Source organism: Homo sapiens, chromosome 22 (assembly GCF_000001405.40).
Source record: "Homo sapiens chromosome 22, GRCh38.p14 Primary Assembly".
Classification (NCBI taxonomy): domain Eukaryota; kingdom Metazoa; phylum Chordata; class Mammalia; order Primates; family Hominidae; genus Homo; species Homo sapiens.
In genome coordinates, this window is record NC_000022.11 from 21,645,107 (window position 1) to 21,669,768 (window position 24,662).

Here is a 24,662-nt window from a genome sequence, read left to right on the forward strand (position 1 = left end):
ACTCCGTTGCCCAGTCTGGAGTGCAGTGGCATGATCATAGCTCACTGTAAACTTGAACTCCTGGGCTCAAGTGATCTTTCCACTTCAGCCTCCTGACTAGCTGGGACTACAGGCACACACCACCATGCCCATCTAATTATTATTTCTGATGAGACAGGATCTTGCTCTGTCATCCAGGCTGGTGTACTGGCAGTGATCATAGCTCACCGCATTCTGGGCTCAAGTGATTTTCCCACCTCAGCCTCCCAAGTAGCTGGGACTACAGGCATGTGCCACCATGCCTGGCTAATTTTTTTTTTTTTGAGATGGCGTCTTGCTCTGTTGCCAGGCTGGAGTGCAGTGACACAATCTCCGCTCACTGCAGATTCCGCCTCCCAGGTTCAAGCCATTCTCCTGCCTCAGCCTCCTGAGTAGCTGGGATTACAGGCACGTGCCACCACGCCCAGCTAATGTTTGCATTTTTAGTAGAGATGGGGTTTCATGATGTTGGCCAGGCTGGTCTCGAACTCCCAGCCTCAGGTGATCTGCCCACCTCGCCCTCCCAAAGTGCTGGGATTATAGGCATGAGCCACCGTGTCTGCCCTCTCTGGCTAATTTTTAAAATTGTTTTAGTAGAGACAAGGTCTCACTGTGCTGCCCTGGTGGGTCTCAAATTCCTGAGCTCAAATGATCCTTCCACCTCTGCCCCCATAAAGTGCTGGGATTACAGTTGTATTACTTTTATTTTGAGACAGGGTCTTACTGTTTTGTCCTGGCTGGACTCGAACTGCATGGCTCAAGCCTCCTCCTGCCTCAGTCTCTCAAGTGGCTGGGATTACAGGTGGATGCCACTGTGCAATCTTTTTTTTTTTTTTTTTTTTTTTTTGAGACGGAGTCTCGCTCTGTCACCCAGGCTGGAGTGCAGTGGCGCGATCTCGGCTCACTGCAAGCTCTGCCTCCCAGGTTCACACCATTCTCCTGCCTCAGCCTCCCAAGTAGCTGGGACTACAAGCACCTGCCACCACGCCTGGCTAATTTTTTTGTATTTTTAGTAGAGACGGGGTTTCACCGTGTTAGCCAGGATGGTCTGGATCTCCTGACCTCATGATCTGCCAACCTCGTGATCTGCCCGCCTTGGCCTCCCGAAGTGCTAGGATTACAGGCATGAGCCACCGCGCCCAGCCGCCACTGTGCAATCTTAACCTTTTCAGTGGTCTTCCATGTACTCCAGTGCTGCCCTGGGCATCCCCCTGTCCACCCTGAGGCGGTCTGATGGCAAGTGACCCCAGGTCCCCAGCCCCTTAGCTTTATGAACCTTCCTGTTAAGGGCCAAGGCCAGACCTCAGAGCAGGATGGGTGGGAGCCCCACTCCCTGTCAGCTGGGATGGGGCACAAGCTCTCCAGCTCCCTCATCCCTAGATGTGAGGAGCTCACTCTCCTGTCAGTTGTGGCAGTCTTGACACCTGTATATGACCAAGGGACAGGTGAGGATTCTGCCCATCTGCTGGAAAGTAGCATTGCAGTTTCACTCACCGGGTGCAAATGGCACCCCACCATAGGCACATGGCATCTCAGGCCCCCACCACGACCTTTGAAAGTCTCAATGAAATAACAGAACTACAGAAGATATTGCAAGGGAAGGCAGCCACATAAAACTGCTACCTGCAGAGATCTGAGAAGGCTGCCTGGAAGAGTAGGCACAATTTGGGCAGGCCAGAGTATCGTACCTTTAAGGCAGGAGCAGACGAAATAGGAGAGCCCTAATAAAGGAAGAGAACTGTTAGCTTTGCTGGTGTGTTGGTGGCCTCTAGCGGTTATGGCAGAGATTACAGGCTTCCTGGACTTGATAACTTAGCTGGGCTGCTGTGGGTCGGCCATGGGAGCTACTGAGTATAACGGTTTGCTTCCCTGAAGCAGAACAAAAGAGCCCAAGGAGAGGCTAGGGGTGGCAGCTGGCTGAAAGAGGCTCGGAATAGTGTGGACAGAGCACCTTGCACTGGAGAAATCAATTGACCTTTCGTGGTTTTTTGTTGTTGTCAATGCCTCTGTTGCCCAGGCTGGAGTGAAGTGGTGCAATCTCGGTTCACTGCAACCTCCACCTCGCAGGTTTAAATGATCTTCCCACCTCAGCCTCTGGAGTAGCTGGGACTACAGGCATGCACCACCACACCCAGCTAATTGTTGTATTTTTTCTAGAGACAGGGTTTTGCCATGTTGCTCACACTTGTCTCGAACTCCTGGACTCAAGTGATCTGCTCACCTCAGCCTGCCAAAGTGCTGGGATTACAGGCTTGCACCACCACGCCTGGCCTCAGTTGACCTTATTAAAGGATGGAGCAGCTGGACATGGTGGCACACGCCTGTAATCTCAGTGCTTTGGGAAGCTGAAGTGGAAGGATTGCTTGAGCCCAAGAGTTGGAGACTGCAGTGAGCTATGATGGTGCTACTGCATTCCAGCTGGGCAACAGACTCTGTCTCTTTAAAAAAGAAAAAAAAGGGGGGGGGGGGCCAGGCATGGTGGCTCACGCCTGTAATCCCAGCACTTTGGGAGGCCAAGGCCGGCGGATCACAAGGTCAGGAGATCGAGACCATCCTGGCTAACACGGTGAAACCCCATCTCTACTAAAAATACAAAAATTAGCCAGGCGTGCTGGCGGGCGTCTGTAGTCCCAGCTACTTGGGAGGCTGAGGCAGGAGAATGGCATGAACCCGGGAGGCGGAGGTTGCAGTGAGCCGAGATTGCACCACTGCACTCCAGCCTGGGTGACAGAGTGAGACTCCATCTCAAAAAAAAAAAAAAGGCCGGGCATGGTGGCTTACACCTGTAATCGCAGCACTTTGGGAGGCTGAGGTGGGTGAATCACGAGGTCAGGAGATTGAGACCATCCTGGCTAACATGGTGAAACCCCGTCTCTGCTAAAAACACAAAAAAATTAGCTGGATGTGGTGGCGGTGCCTGTAGTCCCAGCTACTCGGGAGGCTGAGGCAGGAGAATGGCGTGAACCCGGGAGGTGGAGCTTGCAGTGAGCCAAGATCGTGCCACTGCACTCCAGCCTGGGCAACATAGCAAGATCCCATCTCAAAAAAAAAAAAAGCCTTGGGGTGGGGTGAGGGGGTGGGAGAAAAGCTCTAGCCAATTGTGAATTTGGACTCCTGGGCTTAAGCAATTCTCCCATCTCAGCCTCCCAAAGTGTTGGGATTGTAGGTGTAAGCCACAGCACCTGGCTTTTTCTTTTTTATTTTTTTGGGGAGATAGGATCTTGGTCTGTCACCCAGGCTGGAGTATAGTGGCGCAATCACAGCTCACTGCAGCCTCTATCTCCTGGGCTTAAGAGGTTGTCCCACCTCAGCCTCCTGAGTAGCTGGGACCACAGGCATGCCATACCACACCTGGCTAATTGTTAAATTTTATGTAGAGATAGGGTTTTGCTATGTTGCCCAGGCTGGTCTCAAACTCCTGGGCTTGAGTGATCCTCCCACTTTGGTTTCCTTTTTTTCTTTCCTTTTTTTTTTTTTTTTTTTGAGGTGGAGTCTCACTCTGTCGCCCAGGCAGTGCCGTGGCTCTATGCAACCTCCGCCTCCCAGGTTCAAGTAATTCTCCTTCCTAGCCTCCCGAATAGCTGGGATTACAGGCAAGTGCCACCACACCTGGCTAATTTTTGTATTGTAGAGACGGGCTTTTGCCATGTTGGCCAGGCTGGTCTCGAACTCCTGACCTCAGGTGATGTGCCTGCCTCGGCCTCCCAAAGTGCTGGGATTGCAGGCATGAGCCACTGTGCCTGGCCCTCGCCTTGGCTTCTGAAAGTGCTGGAATTACAGCCATGAGCCACTGCACCTGGCTTCATCGTTAAACTTCTTGAGGATCATCTACAAGTCTATCCATCTCTCCCATTACTCATCTGACCTGAGAGGATTTGAATGGAAGTATATTGTTGGGAGGTGATTCCAGAAAATGCTGGCACAGAGGAATGGGGCTGTGAGAGGGGAAGGGAAAGAAGCTAGTGAAAGGTGCATTATTGAGCAAGTTACCCCTTTGGGCAACTGGAGCTCAATCCCACTGGGGATCTCTGGGACCCAGTGCAGAACGTGCATCAAAGTTATCCCACCCAGCTGGGTGCAGTGGCTCTCATGTGTAATCCCAGTACATTGGGAGACCAAGGCGGGCGGATCACTTGAAGCTAGGAGTTCAAGACCGGTCTGGCCAAGAAGGCGAAACCCCAGCTCTACTAAAAAAAAATACAAAAATTAACTGGGCATGGTGATGCATGCCCATAATCCCAGCTACTTGGGTGGCTGAGGCACTCCAGCCTGGGCGACAGAGTGAGAGTGTCTCAATAAATAAATAAATAAATAAATAAATAAATAAATAAATAAAAGCTATTCCACTCAAGGGGCAAGGAAGTGAGGTACTTACCTCCCAAAGTAGTTTCCCTCACAGGCTGGGTCTGCTGAGTGGGTGGGGGGAGCCACTCTGTAGCACTTTGCACTGGCCTTGTACACTGGGTAAGGGACTCCTGAAGCCAGAATAAGGCCCCCAGGCTGAGCCTCAGGTGCTGGCCATGAGCATCCTTTCTGTAGAGGTAAGTGCCAAGGGGATATGGGTGGGGCACCAACAGGGTAGACTACATCCTATGTATTCATCCGTTCTCACACTGCTATAAAGATACTACCTGAGGCTGGGCATGGTGGCTCATGCCTTTGGGAGGCAGAGGCAGGTGGATCACCTGAGGGCAGGAGTTCGAGACCAGCCTGGCCAACGTGGTGAAACCTTGTCTCTACTAAAAATACAAAAATTCGCTGGGAGTGGCCAGGCACGGTGGCTCACGCCTGTAATCCCACCACTTTGGGAGGCCGAGGCGGGTGGATCACCTGAGGTCAGGCATTTGAGACCAGCCTGGCCAACATGGTAAAACCCCGTCTCTACTAAAAACACAAAAAATTAGCTGGGCTTGCTGGCGGGCGCCTGTAATCCCAGCTACTCTGGAGAGTGAGGCAGGAGAATCACTTGAACCTGGGAGGCGGAAGTCACAGTGAGCCGAGATCGCACCATTGCATTCCAGCCTGGGTGACAGGAGAGAAACTCCGTCTGAAAACAAAAACAAAAATTAGCTGGGAGTAGTGGTGGGCACCTGTAATCCCAGCTGCTTAGGAGGCTGAGGCAGGAGAATTGCTTGAAACCTGGGAGGCAGAGGTTGCAGTGAGCCAAGATCGTGCCATTGCACTCCAGCCTAGGTGATGAGAGCGAAACTCTGTCTCAGTTAAAAAAAAAAAAATGATACTTCTTGGGACTGGGTAACTTATAAACAAGAGATTTAATTGACTCACAGTTCTGCATGGCTGGAGAGGCCTCAGGAAACTTATAGTCCTGGTGGAAGGCAAAGGGGAAGCAAGCCATGTCTTACACAGTGACAGGAGAGAGAGAGTGCTCAGGGGAAACTGCCACTTTTATTTATTTTTGAGATGGAGTCCTGCTTTGTCGCCCGGGCTGGAGTGCAGTGGTGTGATATCGGCTTACTGCAACGTCCACCTCCCAGGTTCAAGTGATTCTCCTGCCTCAGTCTCCTGAGTAGCTGGGACTACAGGCGTACACCACCACACCTGGCTAATTTTTGTATTTTTAGTAGAGACAGCGTTTCACCATGTTGGCCAGGCTGGGAAACTGCCACTTTTAAAACCATCAGATCTTGTGAGAACTCCTTCACTATTACGAGAACAGCATGGGGGAAAGTGCCCCCATGATCCAATCACCTCCCACCAGGTCCCTCCCTTGACACTTGGGGATTACAATTCTAGATGAGATTAGGCTGGGGACACAGAGCCAAACCATATCACCCTGCAAATCCAAGGGGGCACTCCTCTGGTCCAGCCCCAGCTCCTATGGGCTGTCAAAGCCCACTCCTCCCTCTCTGTCTATTCCCCCACCTCCGTTACCACACATAGGTAAGCAGTGAGGTGAGGAGTGTTGACCAAGAGGAACCCAACAGTGCACAAGTGGGAATCCCTGGGCAACCAAAGCCCATGCTGTGGGAGCAGATAAGATTGTTCCAGGCAGAATGCAGGACAAGGCCAAAAATAAAAACTGTAGTGGCAGCAGAACTCACTTTCAGTGAACACTTACTAAATGCCAGGTGCTGGGCCAACAATTTACACAGCATCTCATTTGCTGCTGGCAACAGCCAGCCCTATGGGGCAGGTTTGATTGCCATCTCAATTTTGCAAGAAGGCAACAGGGGTTCATAAAGATTCAAAACCACCTCTGCCTGCCTCAAAAACATTTGCTCTCAGCCATTGGACCGATAATAAAGCAGGAGGGGTTGCAGGGGCACAGTTGTCTAAGCACAGCTCCTCCCTTCCCTCTAGGAGCCGTTCAACAGCCCGGTGATCAATATACTTCCTAGTCATCAGCGAAGGGTAGGCGCTTAATGAATGCTTCTCCGCAAAGTGGATCACAATCACGAAGAAACCAAAGCTTACACTTCCGTTCCCCATATCTCCCACAGATCCAAAAGACCACGGGGCCCAGGACCCGGTCTCCATAGCCCAGCCATACCCGGGGGTTTTCAGGAAAGCCTCACTCGCGTCCTGCCGGGCGATCCGGGGTGGTTGAGTTGGGAGGGGGGCTACCCCAGTTTGTAAGCCCACCACGTCCAAATATCCCATCCAGGAGGCGCAGAGAGCAACCTCAGCATGCATAACAAAGCAGCCCGCGGCCGCGTTCACAGCAGGCTTGGCGGGGGTTCGGGAATTTCCACAGGGTCTCGGCCTCCCCCACTGTGGGCTCGCGCCTGGCGCCCCTCACCGGGCTTCCAAGCGCTCTTGTCGGTGTCGCTAGAAAACTCGCAGAGATTGGAGCTGAGAAAAGGCGGGCAAAGTTCCTTTTGATAAGTTATGAATGGGGAAAAAGTGTTTGTAGAACTCATTGTTAAAACCACGGAGCCCGAGACTCGGCCGGCGCCGGGCCAATCGGAACCCGGAGGCTATTTTGAAATCTCTCCCGTCTCAGCCAACAGGCATGCAGGAGGCGAATCCCCGCGCCAGCGCCGGCCAATGAGCGCAGCGCTATGCTAAGGAGTCGGGGGCCCGGCCCCTCCGACTGTCAGCGGGTTAAAGATGGAGCCGGCAGGCGAGGGGCCGCCACGAGGTGCAGGGTCGTCTGGACGGGGACCCGGGGGCAGACGATGGCCGGGATCCTCTTCCGTCTAACCCTCCGCGTCCTGACCGGGCCCTGGGCGGAAGGGATGTCTGCGTGAGTCAGCTGTGTCTGAGGAGGGGATCCTGGGCTGGGCTGGGCGGCCCTACTCGGCGGGTCAGGCGGAGGGGCGCGGCCGGGATCCCGGGGGCCCTCTTTGGAGCAGGGAACTCTAGAAGGGCGGGGAGCCCCCATCCTCTGCTCCACTCTGGGCCTCCAGGCAGAAGAATATGTTAGAAAAGAATCCAGAGTGTATCTAGTGCAGGGCAAGGGGCCAGGGATGGAGTCGTCAGCTAGAAGGGGCGCGTCGTCCCGGGGTGGGGCCGCCCTTTTTCTCCTGGAGCCGCGGGCCGAGTCAGGGCGCAGGGTCGTCGGGCTGTACCCACCCCGCTCCGGGCGCTAGCCGGCTTTGGACTGCGGCTGAGTGCGGGTTCGTCTTTGTGTGTGCGCCCCCTCCCCTGCGTGGCCCGTCAGCTCCTGCTCCGGGATTGGAACAACCCCCTAGTCTGGGGTTTCTCCTCCACCTCAATCCGGAGCGTTCTGGGAAAGGCCTGGGTGTCCTGGGTTCTGAAGACCCCAGGGACGCACCCCGCTGCGGTCTCCTTCCCTGCCCGGATGGACTGGACGGGGGCTCTGCCCCACCCACCCATCCATGGTTGAGCTTCCCGCCCTGCGTGTATTGGGGGTGGTGGGGTCCCCCCTGCTGGCCGCAGGTGCTCTGACGAGGTTGCACTACTGTGCTCTGAGAAGCAGTGCAATGATATTGTCAAAGCATCTGGGACCAGCCTTGGGGATCTCCCTCCCTATAACCCTCACCTCCCACTCCCCAGGCAGGGCCCCTTGGGCTTGCAGGCCCTCCCCTCCCCCCTACCCAATTCGCTCCCTTCTCCATGGAAACTTGAGATTCTAGACAGGCCTGGGCCTCTGGGGTCAGAGGGCACCCTTTCCCCCCGGGCAGAGGCCCCGCCCCAGCCAGCCTGCATTCCAGGTCTCAGATCCCTGCAGACCACCCTGGGGGAGGCACTGGCAGGCCTGCCCGACACTCTTTCCCTGTTGCACTACTATAGGCCGCTGGGAAGCAGTGCAATGATGAAAGGGCATCGGTCAGGTCCAGCCTGCTACCCTGGGAGGGGGAAAGGGAGCTTGCTGCCTCACTCCACTTTCCAGTTGAGAAGGTTGAGGTGCCCAGAGGGTAAGTGTTTCCACTGATTAGGCACAGATGTGAAGCTGGACTGGACCCTCCATCAGAGGATCAGGTGGGTGCAGAGCTGGAGAATCATCCCTAAACTCTCCATCCTGTCATGGCTGGACAGGTGCAGGAGCAGACCTCCCCAGCTTCTGAAAAGCTCTTGTTTGAAGGTCTTTCCACATTGGGTCCCTGGGGTAAGACTGGAACTCCAGGCCTGGTCAGGGTCTTAGGGGAAATACACGCCCAGTCTTTTGCATGGAAGATCATTCTAGGCCTGGCTTGGGCCCAGTCCTTGCTGGAAGCTTGAACAGGGCCAGGCTCTGGAGAGAATGTTCTTCTGGGTGGCAGTTGGGTAAGGGGGTAAGGCAGGCCTTTCAGGAGGCAGCCTTCACCCCAGGACGTCAGCTGGAGTGGTACTATGGACTGACCAGTTGACTGATCAGTTGAGTGGACTCAGCTGGAGTGGTACTATGTGAGATGGATGGGTGGACTTGGGATACAAAGCCTGCAAATGATGTCTACCAACCATGCCAGTTTGTTCTCTTACAGAGAGGTGTGCCCTGAACCTGCAGGAGGGACTGAGGTGTCTAACATTCCAACCGTCCCAGCTGGAATACAGGGTTGGAGCTGAACTTCCAAGGAGCCTGACCCCAGGCATGCTTGGATGACCACCTCTACCATCAAGACCTGACACGGTGCAAAAGGTTTCTACGTGCCCAGTCACAGTCATTCAAATCTTCTTTAGAGGAGGACTAGGTTTCCAGATGGGCTTTTGGGAGTTCCCCTCATCCCTAGCTGGGCGCATTGGGAAACTGCTTTACCCCTACCCTGGGGAGAGAAGCCCTGGCACCCGTGGGAGGAACAGGGGCAATGACACATGCTCCTTGGCTTCCTAGTCCTGATCCCTTGGGGTTCCTTGATCCTAGGGTCATCTGACTTAGATCCATCCTCCCTTCCTCTAGGCACCAGGGGCCATGGCTGGAGGTGGCCACCCCTCAGTCCTGTACAGATTCTGTACCCACTGGCTGGAGACCCCCATGCAGCTGTCTCCTGCTCTTGCTGCGGGGAGACTGAACTCAGGGCTCTGCTCACTGGCTCCCTCCCAATGGAAGCCTTCTCTGGGCTTCACAGCATTGAATATTCCTCCAGAACAGCTTGTTAAATCAAATTTTTTTTTTTTTAGATGGAGTCTTGCTCTGTCGCCCAGGCTGGAGTGCAGTGGCACGATCTTGGCTCACTGCAAACTCCGCCTCCCGGGTTTAAGCGATTCTCCTGCCTCGGCCTCCCGAATAGCTGGGACTACAGGTGCTACCACACCCAGTAATTTTTGTATTTTTAGTAGAAACGGGGATTCACTATGTTGGCCAGGCTAGTCTCGAACTCCTGACCTCATGATCTGCCCTTCTGGGCCTCCCAAAGTGCTGGGATTACAGGCATGAGCCACCGCACCCGGCCTAAATCAAAATGTTCTCCCTGTGGCAGAAGTGTCCATTAGACTGGGAGCCCCTGAGGCAGAGACAACTGTCATTTAAAAAATCTCTGGCCAGGCGCAGTGGCTCATGCCTGTAATCCCAGCACTTTGGGAGGCCGAGGCAGGTGGATCACCTAAGTTCGGGAGTTTGAGACCAGCCTGACCAACATGGAGAAACCCCATCTCTACTAAATATACAAAATTAGGCTGGGCGCAGTGGCTCACGCCTGTAATCCCATCACTTTGGGAGGCTGAGACAGGTGGGTCCAAGGTCAGGAGTTCAAGACCAGCCTGGCCAAGATGGTGAAACCCCATCTCTACTAAAAACACACACACACACACACAAAAATTAGCCGGGTGTGGTGGTGGGCACCTGTAATCCCAGCTACTAGGGAGGCTGAGGCAGAGAACTGCTTGAACCCGGAAGGCAGAGGTTGCAGTGAGCCAAGATCGCGCCACTGCACTCCAACCTGGACAACAGGGCAAGACTCCCTCTTGAAAATATAAAAAATAAATATACAAAATTAGCCAGGTATGGTGGCGCATGCCTGTAATCCCAGCTACTCAGGAGGCTGAGGCAGGAGAATCACTTGAATCCAGGAGGGAGAGGTTGCGGTGAGCTGAGATTGCGCCATTGCACTCCAGCCTAGGCAACAAGAGGGAAACTCCGTCTCAAAAAAAAAAAAAAAAATCTCTTGGCAGTGTCTGACAAAGAGGAGGGGCCCAATAACCCCCCACCCTTTTTTTGAGACGGAGTTTCGCTCTTGTTGCCCAGGCTGGAGTGCAATGGTGCAATCTCGCCTCACCGCAACCTCTGCCTCCTGGGTTCAAGCAATTCTCCTGCCTCAGCCTTCCGCGTAGCTGGGATTACAGGAATGTGCCACTACGCCCGGCTAATTTTTGTATTTTTAGTAGAGACAGGGTTTCGCCATGTTTGCTAGGCTGGTCTCGAATTCCTGACCTCAGGTGATCCACCCGCCTCGGCCTCCCAAAGTGCTGGGAGCTGTAAGCCACTGTGCCCGGCCTACACTTTTTAAAAATACAAATACAGGTATAAAGTGTGAAGCATGGGTTACTGGAATGACATGATGGGAGGGTGATTAGGGATCTGCTCCACCCTCAAGGGGGTGCTTGTCCTGTATGAAAAAAGGCACATCCTGGCCAGGCACGGTGGCTCACGCCTGTAATCCCAGCTCTTTGGGAGGCCGAGGGCGGGGGGATCACCTGAGGTCTGGAGTTCAAGACCAGCCTGGCCAATATGGAGAAACCCTGCCTCTACTAAAAATACAAAAATTAGCTGGGTATGATGGTGTATGCCTGTAGTCCCAGCTAGTACGGAGGCTGACGCAGGAGAGTCTCTTGAACCTGGGAGGCGGAGGTTGCAGTGAGCTGAGATCGCGCTATTGCACTCCAGCCTGGCGACAAAGTGAGACTCCGACAAGAAAGAGAGAGAGAGAGAGGGAGGGAGGGAGGGAGAGAGAGAGAGAGAGAGAGAGAGAGAGAGAGAGAGAGAGAGAAAGAAAGAAAAAAAGAAAGAAAAAAAGGCACATACTATAGATTTTAAAGTTTCATTTTGTAAGTCACACCAGGGCAGGAAGTAGAATAGAGATTTGAGCCCAAGTGTACCTGACAAGTCTCTCTGCCTGCACTCCTAGACAAGATGATCAGGACAGACCTCATTCTTCTTTGGTTGTCCCCAGGCAGGAGGAAATAAATGTCACTTCCTATGTTGGAAGAGCTGAGGGGTGGTGGTTTAGCAGTAAGAGATGAAAAATCTGATTAAACGTCTCAGGCACACTATGGATCTCAGGGCTGATGGAGGACAAGGAGGGGACAAGGGAGGACGCAGTCCAGGGTGCACCCCCTTGTTAGTGGCTGGGGTCAGTGGCTGACCAAGTAGGAGGGGAGAGGGGTAAGAAAAGTAGCTTTCAGGGAGAAGAAGCTGTGCGTGAATGTGGACATGTTCAGCATGAGATGCCCAAGAATCGTCCCCAGTGGTCATTTGGATGTGGGTCTGGAGCTGAAGGGTGAGACACAGTGGGTGTGTTTTTCAGTCAGTTATGGGTTCTAATCAGGAACAAGAAGTGTGTAAGATCGTCCCAGATGAGACGGTGAAGCCAGGACCTTCAGAAACGCATTCGAGGGGCAAGAGGAAAAGGACAGCGAGGTGGAGCAGGAGGAACAGGACACTGAGGAGGGGCCGGAGATGCAGCGAGTACAGAGCAAACAAGTGGCTGTAAAGGGGAGGAGAGCGCAGAATCTGGGGAGGCCAATGGAGAGTGAAGGAGAGGGAGGAGGGTGAAAAGTCCGAACTAGAGGGGTTAGGGGCAGAGTGAAGTTCTCGGGGCGTTGCCTGGATGAGGCCCGGGAGGCTACAGACAGCGAGGAGGGGCGCCCGTCGGAGGGGACTAGGGGCCTGCCGAGAGGTGGGGACCTTAAAGAAGTTGCTGACCAACCACGTCCTCGGCGCAGCCAAGAGCCCGACCCGGGTCAAAGGCCCGATGGCCCCTGCGGAACTGGGCCAGGACCCGCGCAGCCGCGTTCGCCCCCTCGAGGTCGTGAGCGCGCGTGCCCAGAGCAACGGGCATTGTCGCCTGAGGCAGGCGACTGGGGATTGGCCCCGCCCCCGGCTTCCGCGCGGATTGGCTGGGGCGGGGCGGCGCGGCTGCAGTAGGCTAGAGAGTCCGCACCTGCGCCGCGGCCGTGGGGAGAGAGGGTGCGTCCCGGCAGTCCCGCACGACGGGCCCCGCCTCCCCTGGTGACCCCACGCTCCGGCCTCGGGGGGAGTGGCGGTCGGCGCGCCGAGACCCTCGGGAGCCCCGCCCAGACGCCTGCTCCGCTTCCAGGCCACCCGGGCTCTCCAGCCGCGCTCGCTCGTAGAGATCCTAGACAAGTTCGACAGCGAGGTCCCGCAGAGCAAGACCTGCCAGCAGATCTCCGAGGAGGACTTGGAGAGGCAGGCGGACACCTACACTGGGCGCGCGCTGCGCCTCCTCTTCCGCAGCCCCGTCCGCAACCCGTCGCTGGCGGAGAGGGTGGTACAATTGGAACAGCGCGGGCTCTCTTTTTTCCGGATGCGGCCGCGGGGCATGGGACCGGCTGGGCGGGAACTGTCACTACCCGGGTCCGCCGTCCCCTAGGAAAGAGCTCCGACGATTGGAGCTTTGGGGGCCGGGGATGGGGGTGGGGTGGAGAGGTCGCCGTCGGCCTAGCTGGGGCTGCAGGGTAGGATCTATCAGAAAGCCGAGGCTGCACAGCCTGGGGAGTGGAGCGGGCAGGCGTCTCACGCCCCGGACCTCCCCCTGCCCTGCCTCTCCTACTCTTGTTGCAGGCGAAGTTCTTCTGTGTTGTGCAGGCGGAGCTGAACCATTGCAACAGCATGGGCGCCCTGGAGATGCACGAGCAGGTGGAGCAGCTGAAGCAGAGCATCCACCGCGTGCACCTCTACTCCCGGGGCGAGGATCAACCTCTCCCCGTGCTGGGCCCTGGGCGGGGGTCTGAGCCCAGTGCAGCCAGGCCGAGGGCTAGGTGACCACCTCCATTCTTCCGGTTGGATTTGCCCTCCTTGGATCAGGTTTTATCCAGAGCAGGAAGGGGCCTGGGCAGTCTGGACCTGGGAGGAGAGGCGCTGCCCCTAGCTAGATTCTTTAGTTAGGAGACTGACTTCAGCTCTGCTACTTCCTTCCTGGCTGTGTGATCCTGAGCAAGTTGGGCCACCTTTCCGAGAGAGAGAGCCCTCACTGCTCACCTTGGTGAGTGTTTTGGAGTGGTGGATGAAGGCCTGTAGGTAGGGCTGGCTCAAGCAACCAAGCAAACCTGAATCAATTAAAAAAAAAAAAAAAAAAGGCCGGGTGCGGTGGCTCACGCCTGTAATCCCAGCACTTTGGGACAAGGCCGAGGCGGGCGGATCACAAGATTAGGAGTTCGAGACCAGCCTGACCAACATGGTGAAACCACCGTCTCTACTAAAAATACAAAAATTAGCCAGGCGTGGTGGTGCGTGCCTGTAATCCCAGCTACTTAGGAGCCTGAGGCAGGAGAATTGCTTGAACGCAGGAGGCGGAGGTTGCAGTGAGCTGAGACAGCGCCACTGCACTCCAGCCTGGGCAACAGAGTGAGACTCCGTCTCGAAAAAAAAAAAAAAAAGTTGAGAGAGTCCTGGCACCGACCAACCATGTCCTTGGTGTGGCCCTGTGGCTTGTCTCTGGCCCTGTGTTTGGCACTTAAAAAAAAAGAGGCACTTTTTATTAAAGTAAACATGTACAAAACTGGAGATGACAGCGAACACCCCCAAGAACCTGTCGTCAGCCTCAGCAACTGTCCCCATCTTGCCAAATGTGTTTCACTCTCCATAACCCTAGGCCTTTTTCTGAAGTATTTGAAGGGAAATCTCAGACATCATTGTACCTCTGACTACTTTAGAATGCATCTTAATTAAAAAAAAAAAAAAAAAAAAAAAGGCCAAGCATGGTGGTTCACGCCTGTAATCCTAGCACTTTGGGAGGCCGAGGCAGGTGGATCACCTGAGGTCAGGAGTTCAAGACCAGCCTGGCCAACATGGTGAAACCCCGTCTCAACTAAAAATACAGAAAAATTAGCTGGGCTTGCCTGTAATTCCAGCTACTTCGGAAGGCTGAGGCAGAAGAATCGCTTGCACCTGGGAGGTAGAGGTTGCAGTGAGCCAAGATCGCACTACTGCACTCCAGCCTGGGTGACAAGAGAGAAGCTCCATCTCAAAAAAAAAAAAAAAGGCATTTGGCTGGGCACAGTAGCTCATGCCTGTAATCCCAGCACTTTGGGAAGCTGAGGTAAAAGAATCTCTTGAGCCTAGGAGTTGGAGACCAGCCTGGCAACATAGCAAGACCCCATCTCTACAAAAAAATTTTTAAAATAGCCAGGTGTGGTGGCACATGCCTGTAGTCCTGGCTACTTGGGAGGCTGAGGCAGGAGGATAGCTTGAGCCCAGGAGTTTGAGGTTATGGTGAGCTATGATCACACCAGTGTGCTCCAGCGTGGGTGATACAGAGTGAGACCCTGTCTCTATAAAGTGACAACTACAAAAACAAACATTTGCTGACATAATCACAATGTCATTGTTACACTTTACATAATTGACAACAGTTCTCTGACATCAGCTGGTCATAGTCACCTCTCCTAGATGGGCCACAGAAGTCTTTCTAGACTTGGTTTGTCACCTCAGGACCCAGTGAGACTCACACATTCATTATGTTTGGCTGTTAGGCCTCTTAGGTTCCTTTTAACTAGGGTGATTGTATAATTAGTGTCTAAATTGGGAACCTTGTGAGAATGAAATGAAAGGGGGCCATATATGTGGCCACACAGGGGCAGCAAATGTACACTGGGATGGCCCTGGGTCCTTGGCCACTTCTGTTGAAGTCCCCTTTGAGGAGGGATAGCCTGTCTGGTGTCGTCCTCTGGCAAGTCCCACTTCCCGGGTTTGCGTCTGTTACGGTCTGCTGGTGGGTTGCTTCCTCCTCTGCCTGTATTTCTTGGACAGTTGCTCTAAAGCTCGATTGGATTCAGGCTCAGTTCCTTCAGTATATTTGTGTTCGTGGGTGCCTACACTAGTGTGGGGCTACTCACTTCTGTGTCACATGGAGAGGCCCAGCTTGCCTGGGGGTCCCACTTTCTGGAGCATTGAGAGTGAGCCCTCCACTGATTGTTGGACCAACAGCACCTGTAGCCCCCCAAGGTGAGGTTGGTGAGATGGGGCATGTTGGCCCCTGTCAGCAGTGGCTCTAGGTATTGTTCATGGTGTTCTTTGGGGCCCCCTCACTTTCCTGTTGGAGGGACTGCGTGAAGACCCCATACCACTGTGTCTGGCTCCCACTCTACCTGCTCCAGCTGCAAGGTAGGCACTCACTGGCACCTTTTGTTGCAGACACCAAGAAGACGAGAAAGAAGCCAAGACAGAAGAAACCAGAACCCAACCTCTTGTGGGACCGGTTGACCTCCCCATGCCTGCCACCAACCCTGCTGCCACCTCTGCCGCTACCACCACCATGGTCTCCGTGGTGACCTCATCACCCCCTGGCACCTGGGGCTGCCTTGCTTGCCTAAAGCCAAGTAGGTGGAGCCCCTTGGTGCCTTCAACCCCCACCCAACGCCTTAACCAGAGCAAACCCCGTTTATCTGCTTTGTGCATCAAGACCCTGTCTGCAAAGAGGGGTCTGCTGCTTAAAAGCAGAGGGCTGAGATCCACGGCTACAGGCCCAGGAGAGCCCCTGGGATTGTTCTGAGCAGGGGGCACCCAGGACTGCCTGGAGTGGGGGAGGCTCCCACTGACCGACTTGCAGGGCAGTGGAGGGAAGGGACCAAAGACCGTAGGCATAGTGTAGACCAGACAGGATCCTGGGGCTCCCAAAGGACAGGTGGAAAACCAGGGGGCCCCTCCCACATCTCCAGCCCCACTCCTGCCTCTCCCTGTGGGCATGGCTCCCCATGCTACCCTCTGCCTGCAGTGCACTGGGTTAGAGCCAGGATGGTGTCTGGCCCCAGGGAGGTGCGGAGGCATGCTTACCAGGGGGAGCCAGGGCAATGGAGCTTGGGCAGGCTGTTTCCAGCCACATATGAGAAATGGAAGCCTCCAGGGTTGAGAACCAAGGGAGTCAGATCAACCAGTCAGATCAACCATGTGGCTGCAAGACAGGGCAGAGAGGGGACGTCAGCCCCAGGCCCCTCCACACCTCATGTGCAGTTCTACAGCACGGGCACAGGCACTGCCTACACAGAGCCAACCTCTGAGCCCAGACCCCTCCACTGTAAAATGAGAATAAGCACTCAGGATGGTTGTGAGGATTCACTAACAGACTGAGAAGAAATGGTGACCTAGGCTGGCACATGGGACACTCCCCAAGATGCTCCTTTTTCATTTCCCTCAAGCCCAGAGTAAACCCCTTCGACCTCCTTGGGTTTCGTGACAGGCCATTCCAGTTTAATTTCACTTCAGATCTTGAAATGTCCAAATTCTTCACCTGGAGGATAGAAAGGAAATCTCAGGATAAGTTTGTTGGCCTCATTTGAAGAAAAGTACCTTATAGAAGAGCCATAAGAATGACGTGGCTTTCATTCACTCAGCAGATACATTGGGACCATCTCTTGTGCCCACCTTGAGCTTGGTTAGGGGTACAGGAGATGGGGTCGGGCACGCTGGGAACTAAGGAGGTCTGAACCCAGCCTGGGGGATGGAGGACTGCCTGGAGGTGGAGGCCAGACCTGAATGAGTCACACAGGCTAAGTGGGGAGTCAAGAGGTGCAGGCAGTTAGGCCACCACACCTGGCCGCTCATCTTTTTCAGCATTGAATAATATTCCATTGCCTGGATATGCCACATTTTATCATTCGCCCAATGAAGGATATCCTGGTTGCCTCCAAGTTTTGCAATTATGAATAAAGCAGTATAAACATCTGTGTGGAGGTTTTAGAGTATACATAACTTTTCAACTCATTTGGGTAAATACCAAGGAGCATGCTTGCTGAATCATAGGGTACGATAGCCAAACTGTCTTCCAAAAAGACTGTACCATTTTGCATCCAGCAATGAATAAGAATTCAAAGGCCTTGGCTGGGCACAATGGCTCATACCTATAATCCCAGCACTTTAGGAGGCTGAGGCGGGCGGATCACGAGGTCAAGAGATGGAGACCATCCTGGCCAACATGGTGAAACCCTGTCTCTACTAAAAATACAAAAATCAGCAGGGCGTGGTGGCTCATGCCTGCAGTCCCAGCTACTTGGGAGGCTGAGGCAGAAGAATCGCTTGAACCCAGGAGGCAGAGGTTGCAGTGAGCCAAGATCGTGCCACTGAACTCCAGCCTGGCGACAAAGTGAGACTCTGTCTTTAAAAAAAAAAAAAAGAATTCAGAGGACTTTTTGTGTAAGGAACTCACACTGTTTTATAAAAAGACAATTCAGAATTCTGGCCGAGCGTGGTGGTGCACTACTGTAATCCCAGCAATTTGGGAGGAGTGAGGTGGGGGATCACTTGAGCTCAGGTATTCAAATTAGCCAGGCATGTTGGTGCGCACCTGTAGTCCCAGCTACTTGGGAGGCGTGAGTGGGAGAATCTCTTGAGCCCAGAGGGTGGAGGCAGGCACCTGTAGTCCCAGCTACTCGGGAGGCTGAGGCAGGAGAATTGCTTGAACCCGGGAGGTGGAGCTTGCAGTGAGCCGAGATCACGCCACTGTACTCCAGCCTGGGCAACAGTACGAGACTCCATCTCAAAAAATAAAAAGTAATAATAATAATAATAATAATAATAATAATAAATCTTTAAGTTCACCAATAACAATAGATACAAAATATTCCATCAAACGGGTGGAACATCATTTACTCAACTGTTCTTGCTTTTTGAAATATTTCTCCAATGGGGTCAATTTTTAGGTTATTGGTGCATTTTGCTTTCTGACTGAGTCATCATGGTGCATCACCACAAATGGGTTATTTTTAATTGGTTTGTATTTATTTGTTTGCTTGCTTATTTAGAGACAGAGTTGTGCTCTGTTGCCCAGGCTGTAGTGCAGTGGCGCGATCTCAGCTTACTGCAACCTCTGCCTCCCAGGTTCAAGCGATCACCATGCCTCAGGCCTCCTGAGGAGCTGGGATCACAGGCACATGCCACCACGCCCAGCTAATTTTTGTATTTTTAGTAGAGACAGGGCTTCACCATGTTAGCCAGGCTGGTCTCGAACTCCTGACCTCAGGTGATCCAACCGCCTTAGCCTCCCAAAGTGCTGGAATTACAGGCGTGAGCCACCGCACCGACTGTCCCCTCCCCACACCCCGGCCCTTTTTTAAAGAGACAGGATCTCACTCTGTTGCCCAGGCTAGAGTGCAGTGGCTTGATCATAGTTTACTGCAGCCTCAAACTCCTGGGCCTCAAGTGATCCTTCCACTACAGCCTCCCAAGTAGCTGGAATCACAGGTGCTGCCACCATGCTGGGCCTAAGATTCCAGCCCTTAAGGAGCTACATCCCATCCACTGTATGTGTGTCATGGAGGCAGTGGTTGTGTCAGGGAGGGTGCTCAGTAAACCGGGACACAGACTGAATTACACAGGATTACAAATTGTGAGGAATTGTGACAGACTTTATGGGAGATGCATGGAAGTGGGTGGTTAGGGAAGGTCTCTCTGGGGAGGTGACACTTATGTTAAAACCTAGAGAATAAGAAGCCAGCCATGAAATAAGGCAAAGATAGCTGGCTTTCGGTGACTGGGTGGATGGTGGTACTGCTCAGCAGAGTGGGGACTGGGAGAAGAGGGAGGATTGAAAATTCTGCTTTATGGCCGGGTGCGGTGACTCATGCATGTAATCCCAGGACTTTGGGAGGGCTGAGGCGGGAGGATCACCTGAGGTCGGGAGTTCGAGACCAGCCTGACCAACATGGAGAAACCCCTTCTCTACTAAAAATACAAAATTAGCCAGGCGTGGTGGCGCATGCCTGTAATAATCCCAGCTACCTGGGAGACTGAGGCAGGAGAATCGCTTGAACCTGGGAGGCGGAGGTTGCAGTGAGCCAAGATCACACCATTGCACTCCAGCCTGGGCAACAAGAGCAAAACTCCATGTCAAAAAAAAAAAGAAAAAAAAAAAGAAAATTCTACTTTGACCAGACATGTTAATTTAATTTTTTTAGGCAGAGTCACTCTGTCACCCAGGCTGGGATGCAGTGGCCTAATCTTGGCTCACGGCAACCTCTGCCTCCCCAGTTCAAGCTACTGTCTCGGCCTCCCAAGTAGCTGGAATTACAGGTGTGTGCCACCACACCAGGCTAATTTTTTGTATTTTTAGTAGAGATGGGGTTTTGCCATGTTGGCCAGGTTAGTCTTGAACTCCTGACCTCAAGTGATCCGCCTGCCTCAGCCTCTCAAAGTGCTGGGATTGGCCGGGCGTGGTGGCTCACGCCTGTAATCCCGGAACTTTGGAAGGCCAAGGCAGGCGAATCAGGAGGTCAGGAGATCGAGACCATCCTGGCTAACATGGTGAAACCCCGTCTCTACTAAACACACACACACACACACACACACACACACACACAAAGTGCTGGGATTACAGGCGTGAGCCACCACGCCCATCCAGACATGTTACATTTCAGATCAGTGGTTACCCAAGTGGAGATCAGGAACCTGGAGTGCTGGTGACTTAGTACTGGGAGTCATGGGATACAAATGGCATTTAAAATTAGGAGCCTAGGCAAGATTACCCTGGGCCTGAGTGTAGCTAGGGGCCCAAGGTACTGATCTGACCCAAGGGAAGGGTCTGGCAGAAGAGACGGAAGGGATCAGGTAGGGCTTTGGACCTCTAGGCTTGATGGCCACCTGCTGCTGGGCCTCCGAGGGGCCTGGAGGCGGTGGGGACCGAATATGCAGAGAGAATGAGAAGTGAGCGAGTAGAACGAGAGTGGTACATGGCTTTGAAGGCATCTGCCACGGAGGCGGGAAGGGATGGGGTGGAGGCTCATGAGACTTGAAGCTCTAGGAGGACGTTGAAAAAGACCTGAGCGCTGGCCGGGCGCGAAGCCTCAGGCCTGTAATCCCAGCACTTTGGGAGGCCAAGGCGGGAGGACTGCTTGAGCTCAAGAGCTCCAGACCAGCCTGGGCAACATTGTAAGAGCCTGTCTCTACAAAAAATTAACAAATTAGCCGGGTGTGGTGGTGCGTGCCCGTAGCTACTCGGGAGGCTGAGGTGGGAGAATCGCTTGAGCCTGGGAGGTCGAGGCAGTAGTGAGCTGTGATTGTGCCACTGCACTCCAACCTGGGCGACAGAGCGAGACCCTGTCTCGAAAATAAATAAATAAGACCTGAGAACCCAGTATGGGAATGGCCCTGAGCCGTGGCTAGGGGGGTAGACAAGGCGGTCCAGACAGACCCCTCAAGAAGATGGGGCTTCGAGGCTGAGGGAGCTCGGCCCCGAAAAGACGCCTGCGGGAGATGGCACACCTAGCTAGGACCCCATACTGGGCAGGCGATCCTTCCGAGCATGAGCACCTGGCGCTAGCGAACCACAATTCCCAGCACGCCAGGCGCCCGTTTCCGGGGCGCGCCGCGGAACCCGGAAGTGGTCACGGAACTCGGCTGCGGCTCCATGGTCTGAGTTGTCAGCCGTTGTTTTTTCGTGCTCGCTAGTCGCCGCCGCCGCTCCGCCATGGGGAAGCGACAGCACCAAAAGGACAAAATGTAAGTTGAGCCGCAGTCGGGAGCGGCGCTCCACTCTGCCTCAGTGAACCGCCTGTCCCGCACTGCGCGCCGCTCGCCTTCCCTCTCAGCTACTCCCCAGAGCACAGCCCAAAGGTCACTTCCTCCCGGAAGCTGCCGCCCTGTCTCCAGTCAGGGTAATGACCCTCGGGCCGCCGCGCTCTCCCGGGGCCGCGGCTCCGATGACGTCAGCTGCGGGCTCGAGCGCAGCCCGGTTTTCCTTACTCTGGTTCTGCCCGGACCGTCCCCCGTCTGTTCGCGAGTTTCGCCCTTGAATGAGTAGTCTCTACCTCTTCCGTACTTCACGTCTCGCTGTGTTCTGGTTCATGCCTATCAGCCTGCAAACGTGCTGCAGAGCCTTCTAATTTAAAGCAAACCAGGTCGGGCGCAGTGGCTCACCTGTAATCACAGCACTTTGGGAGGCCGAGGCGGGCGGATCACCTGAGGTCAGGAGTTCAAGACCAGCCTGGCTAATACGGTGAAACCCCGTCTCTACTAAAAATACAAAAATTAGCGGGGCGTGGTGACGGGCGCCTGTAATCCTAGCTATTTGGGAGGCTGAGGCAGGGGAATCGCTTGAACCCGGGAGGCGGAGGTTGCGGTGAGCCGAGATCGTGTCACTGCACTCCAGCCTGGGCGACAGAGCGAGACGCTGTCTCAAAAATAATAAATAAAATTTAAAAATCCACCCGTGCCCCGTGCCCCACGTCCCACGTTCCCCTCCCGCTGCCGCCGTGTTGTTTCTCTTAAGAACAAGTGAGAGACTAGTGGCTTCATGCTGTTTTCTGAGTCTCTTGAAACCACTCAAGTCAGAATTTCGACCCCAGAACTGTTGGGCTTCTCAACAGTATGTCACACCGTTGACCACTCCCTCTTTCTGAAGCCCTCCTTTGGTATCTGGGATTTCACCTGCTCTTTGTTTTCTCTCGACTTCAGCGGCCTCTCTTTTCAGGTTCCCAGCGACTTCTTGTTGCTAAATATAGTATTCAATCCTCAGTCCTCATTTTTTTTTTTTTTTTTTTTTGAGACGCAGTTTCGCTCTTGTTGCCCAAGCTAGAGTGCAATGGTGAGATCTTGGCTCACCGCAACCTCCGCTTCCCGGCTTCAAGAGATTTTCCTGCCTCAGCCTCCCGAGTAGCTGGGATTACAGGCATACGCCACCATGCCCAGCTAATTTTGTATTTTTAGTAGAGAAGGGGTTTCTCCATGTTGGTCAGGCTGGTCTCGAACTCCTGACCTCAGGTGATCCACCTGCCTCGGCCTCCCAAAGTCCTGGGATTACAGGCGTGAGCCACCGCGTCTGGGCAGCCTCAGTCCTCATTTTGTTGGGCTTCTCAACAGTATGTCCCACTGTTGACCACTCCCTCCTTCTGAAGCCCTTCTTTGGTATCTGGGATTTCACATGCTCTTTGTTTTCCATCGACTTCAGCGGTCTTTCTTTTCCCAGTCTCCTTTCTGGACCCTCCTCCCTTCTCTCAGATCTCATACGTTTCTTTTCCATAAACATTCTCTGTGGGTGATATAATTTCCCAGTCATCTATAAGCTGCTTTCCCCAGTCTTGTGTAGTTAGTGGCTTACTTAATATCTCCACTGGAGGACTGAAAGACATCTCAAATTTTTTTTTTTTTTTTTTTTTTTTTTTTGAGATGGAGTCTTGCTCTGTCGCCCAGGCTGGAGTGCAATGGTGCCGTCTTGGCTCACTGCAACCTCTACTTCCCACATTCAAGCAATTCTCCCACCTCAGCCTCCCCAGTAGCTGGGATTATAGGTGCCTGCCACCATGCCCATGCTAATTTTTGTATTTTTAGTAGAGACAGGTTTTCACTATGTTGGTCAGGCCGGTCTCGAACTCCTGACGTCGAGTGATCGACCTACCTCTGCCTCCCAAAGTGCTGGGATTACAGGCGTGAGCCACCGTGCCGGGCCAGACATCTCGAATTTAATATGCCTTAAACAGAACTCTTGATTTTCAGCTCTTGAGCCTGCTCCTCCCTGTAAACTAAAAATAAAACCCTAAGTCCCCCCACTGGCTAAGCAGACACCCTTGTGGCCAAGAGAACCCCAGGAAAACCTTAAAACTGAGTTCCTGGCCATGATGGGATAGAGATCAGCTGTGCCTTGTTATATCCCCCTCCCTTTTGTGGCTTAGACACAACAACTGACCAGCATTAATGTTGAAATAGAGATCATAAGGGGCCAGGCACGGTGGCTCACACCTGTAATCCCAGCACTTTGGGAGGCTGAGGCGGGTGGATCACCAGGTCAGGAGATCGAGACCATCCTGGCTAACACGGTGAAACCCCATCTCTACTAAAAATACACAAAAAAATCAGCTGGGCGTGGTGGCAGGCGCCTGTAGTACCAGCTACTCGGGAGGCTGAGGCAGGAGAATGGCGTGAACTCACGAGGTGGAGCTTGCAGTGAGCCGACATTGCACAACTGCACTCCAGCCTGGGCAGCGAGCAAGACTCCGTCTCAAAAAAAAAATAAATAAAATAAATAAAAATAAAGAAATAGAAATCATAAGATTGACAAAACAGACTCTTTGTGGCAATAAGATACCATTTTTTTTTTTTTTTGAGACGGAGTCTCGCTCTGTCGCCCAGGCTGGAGTGCGGTGGCATGGTCTCCGCTCACTGCAAGCTCCGCCTCCCGGGTTCATGCCATTCTCCTGCCTCAGCCTCCCGAGTAGCTGGGACTACAGGCGCCTGCCACCACGCCCGGCTAATTTTTTGTATTTTCAGTAGAGACGGGGTTTCACTGTGTTAGCCAGGATGGTCTCCATCTCCTGACCTGGTGATCCGCCCGCCTCGGCCTCCCAAAATGCTGGGATTACAGGTGTGAGCCACCGTGCCTGGCCCTCTATTTTTTTTTTTTTTTTAGTAGAGACTGGTTTCACCGTGTTAGCCAGAATGGTCTCCATCTCCTGACCTCGTGATCTGCCCGCCTTGGCCTCCCAAAGTGCTGGGATTATAGGCGTGAGCCACCTTGCCCGGCCGGTTTTTTTTGTTTTTTGTTTTGTTTGTTTTTGAGACAGAGTCTCCCCCGTCCCCCAGGCTGGAGTGTAGTGGTGCTGTCACAGCTCACTGCAGCCTCAACCTGCCTTCCTGCCTTAGTCTTTGGAGTAGCTGGGACCACAGGTGTGAGCTGTCACACCTGGCTAAGTTTTAAATTTTCTTGTAGAGACAGATTCTCGCTTTGTTGCCCCAGCTGTTCTCCAACGCCTGGACTCAAGCAATCTTCCTGCCTTGGCCTCCCAAACTGTTGGGATTATAGGTGTGAGCCACTGTGCCTGGTCTCCATGTCTGTTGTGTTTATCACTGTGTGGCTGACATATAGTAGGTGTTTTTTTGTTTGTTTGTTTTTTTGAGACAGAGTCTCACTCTGTCACCCAGGCTGGAGTACAGTGGTGTGATCTTGGCTGACTGCAACCTCCGCCTCCCGGGATCAAGCAATTCTCTGCTTCAGCCTCCCGAGTAGCTGGGATTACAGGCACCCACCACCATGCCCAGCTAATTTTTGTATTTTTAGTAGAGACGTGGTTTCACCATGTTGGCCAGGCTTGTCTTAAACTTCTGACCTCTAGTGATTCGCCTGCCTCGGGCTCCCAAAGTGTTG

At 53.5% G+C, this 24,662-nt stretch overlaps 1 protein-coding gene, 2 non-coding genes and 1 pseudogene across 18 annotated transcripts in view, besides 7 other annotated features; all 4 read left to right on the top strand.

Annotated features, from left to right (window-relative positions):
- Positions 6,660-7,330: an enhancer, noted in NCBI's record as "OCT4-H3K27ac hESC enhancer chr22:22006055-22006725 (GRCh37/hg19 assembly coordinates)". NCBI's record gives its function as "activates a minimal SCP1, AML or CMV promoter by ChIP-STARR-seq in naive and primed H9 embryonic stem cells {active_cell/tissue: H9 hESC(naive and primed)}" and the evidence as "EXISTENCE:reporter gene assay evidence [ECO:0000049][PMID:30033119]".
- On the top strand, positions 7,075-17,257 carry LOC107985532 (uncharacterized; annotated as a pseudogene). 6 transcript variants are annotated; one of them, NR_169729.1, is made up of 7 exons: positions 7,075-7,225; positions 8,236-8,360; positions 8,907-9,061; positions 11,883-12,043; positions 12,675-13,580; positions 15,731-15,915; positions 16,799-17,257. The product of NR_169729.1 is annotated as an uncharacterized LOC107985532, transcript variant 1 (transcript). The 6 variants fall into 6 exon arrangements; NR_169730.1 differs by lacking the exon at positions 11,883-12,043 and having other exon boundaries at positions 8,236-8,424; positions 15,731-17,257; NR_169734.1 differs by lacking the exons at positions 7,075-7,225; positions 8,236-8,360; positions 8,907-9,061; positions 11,883-12,043 and having other exon boundaries at positions 12,654-12,866; positions 13,160-13,356; positions 13,537-13,580; positions 17,147-17,257.
- Positions 7,331-8,002: an enhancer, noted in NCBI's record as "H3K27ac-H3K4me1 hESC enhancer chr22:22006726-22007397 (GRCh37/hg19 assembly coordinates)". NCBI's record gives its function as "activates a minimal SCP1, AML or CMV promoter by ChIP-STARR-seq in primed H9 embryonic stem cells {active_cell/tissue: H9 hESC(primed)}" and the evidence as "EXISTENCE:reporter gene assay evidence [ECO:0000049][PMID:30033119]".
- Positions 7,539-7,588: an enhancer, noted in NCBI's record as "active region_18699". NCBI's record gives its function as "activates an Ori minimal core promoter by ATAC-STARR-seq in GM12878 lymphoblastoid cells {active_cell/tissue: GM12878}" and the evidence as "EXISTENCE:reporter gene assay evidence [ECO:0000049][PMID:35858748]".
- MIR301B (microRNA 301b) lies at positions 7,875-7,952 on the top strand. Its single transcript, NR_030622.1, has one exon. It is a non-coding gene; the product is annotated as a microRNA 301b (primary transcript).
- MIR130B (microRNA 130b) lies at positions 8,198-8,279 on the top strand. Its single transcript, NR_029845.1, has one exon. It is a non-coding gene; the product is annotated as a microRNA 130b (primary transcript).
- Positions 12,405-12,734: a silencer, noted in NCBI's record as "silent region_13513". NCBI's record gives its function as "represses an Ori minimal core promoter by ATAC-STARR-seq in GM12878 lymphoblastoid cells {active_cell/tissue: GM12878}" and the evidence as "EXISTENCE:reporter gene assay evidence [ECO:0000049][PMID:35858748]".
- Positions 20,838-21,748: an enhancer, noted in NCBI's record as "H3K27ac-H3K4me1 hESC enhancer chr22:22020233-22021143 (GRCh37/hg19 assembly coordinates)". NCBI's record gives its function as "activates a minimal SCP1, AML or CMV promoter by ChIP-STARR-seq in naive and primed H9 embryonic stem cells {active_cell/tissue: H9 hESC(naive and primed)}" and the evidence as "EXISTENCE:reporter gene assay evidence [ECO:0000049][PMID:30033119]".
- PPIL2 (peptidylprolyl isomerase like 2) overlaps positions 20,906-24,662 on the top strand; it is a 34,004-nt gene continuing 30,247 nt past the window's right edge. For all 10 annotated transcript variants that reach the window (NM_148175.3, XM_011530049.3, NM_014337.4 and 7 more), the window contains exon 1: positions 20,906-21,025. In NM_148175.3, coding sequence (NP_680480.1) covers positions 20,994-21,025 — 32 coding nt within the window. In that variant the 5' untranslated portion in view covers positions 20,906-20,993. The remainder of the gene's footprint in view (positions 21,026-24,662) is intronic.
- Positions 20,983-21,222: an enhancer, noted in NCBI's record as "active region_18700". NCBI's record gives its function as "activates an Ori minimal core promoter by ATAC-STARR-seq in GM12878 lymphoblastoid cells {active_cell/tissue: GM12878}" and the evidence as "EXISTENCE:reporter gene assay evidence [ECO:0000049][PMID:35858748]".
- Positions 21,293-21,342: an enhancer, noted in NCBI's record as "active region_18701". NCBI's record gives its function as "activates an Ori minimal core promoter by ATAC-STARR-seq in GM12878 lymphoblastoid cells {active_cell/tissue: GM12878}" and the evidence as "EXISTENCE:reporter gene assay evidence [ECO:0000049][PMID:35858748]".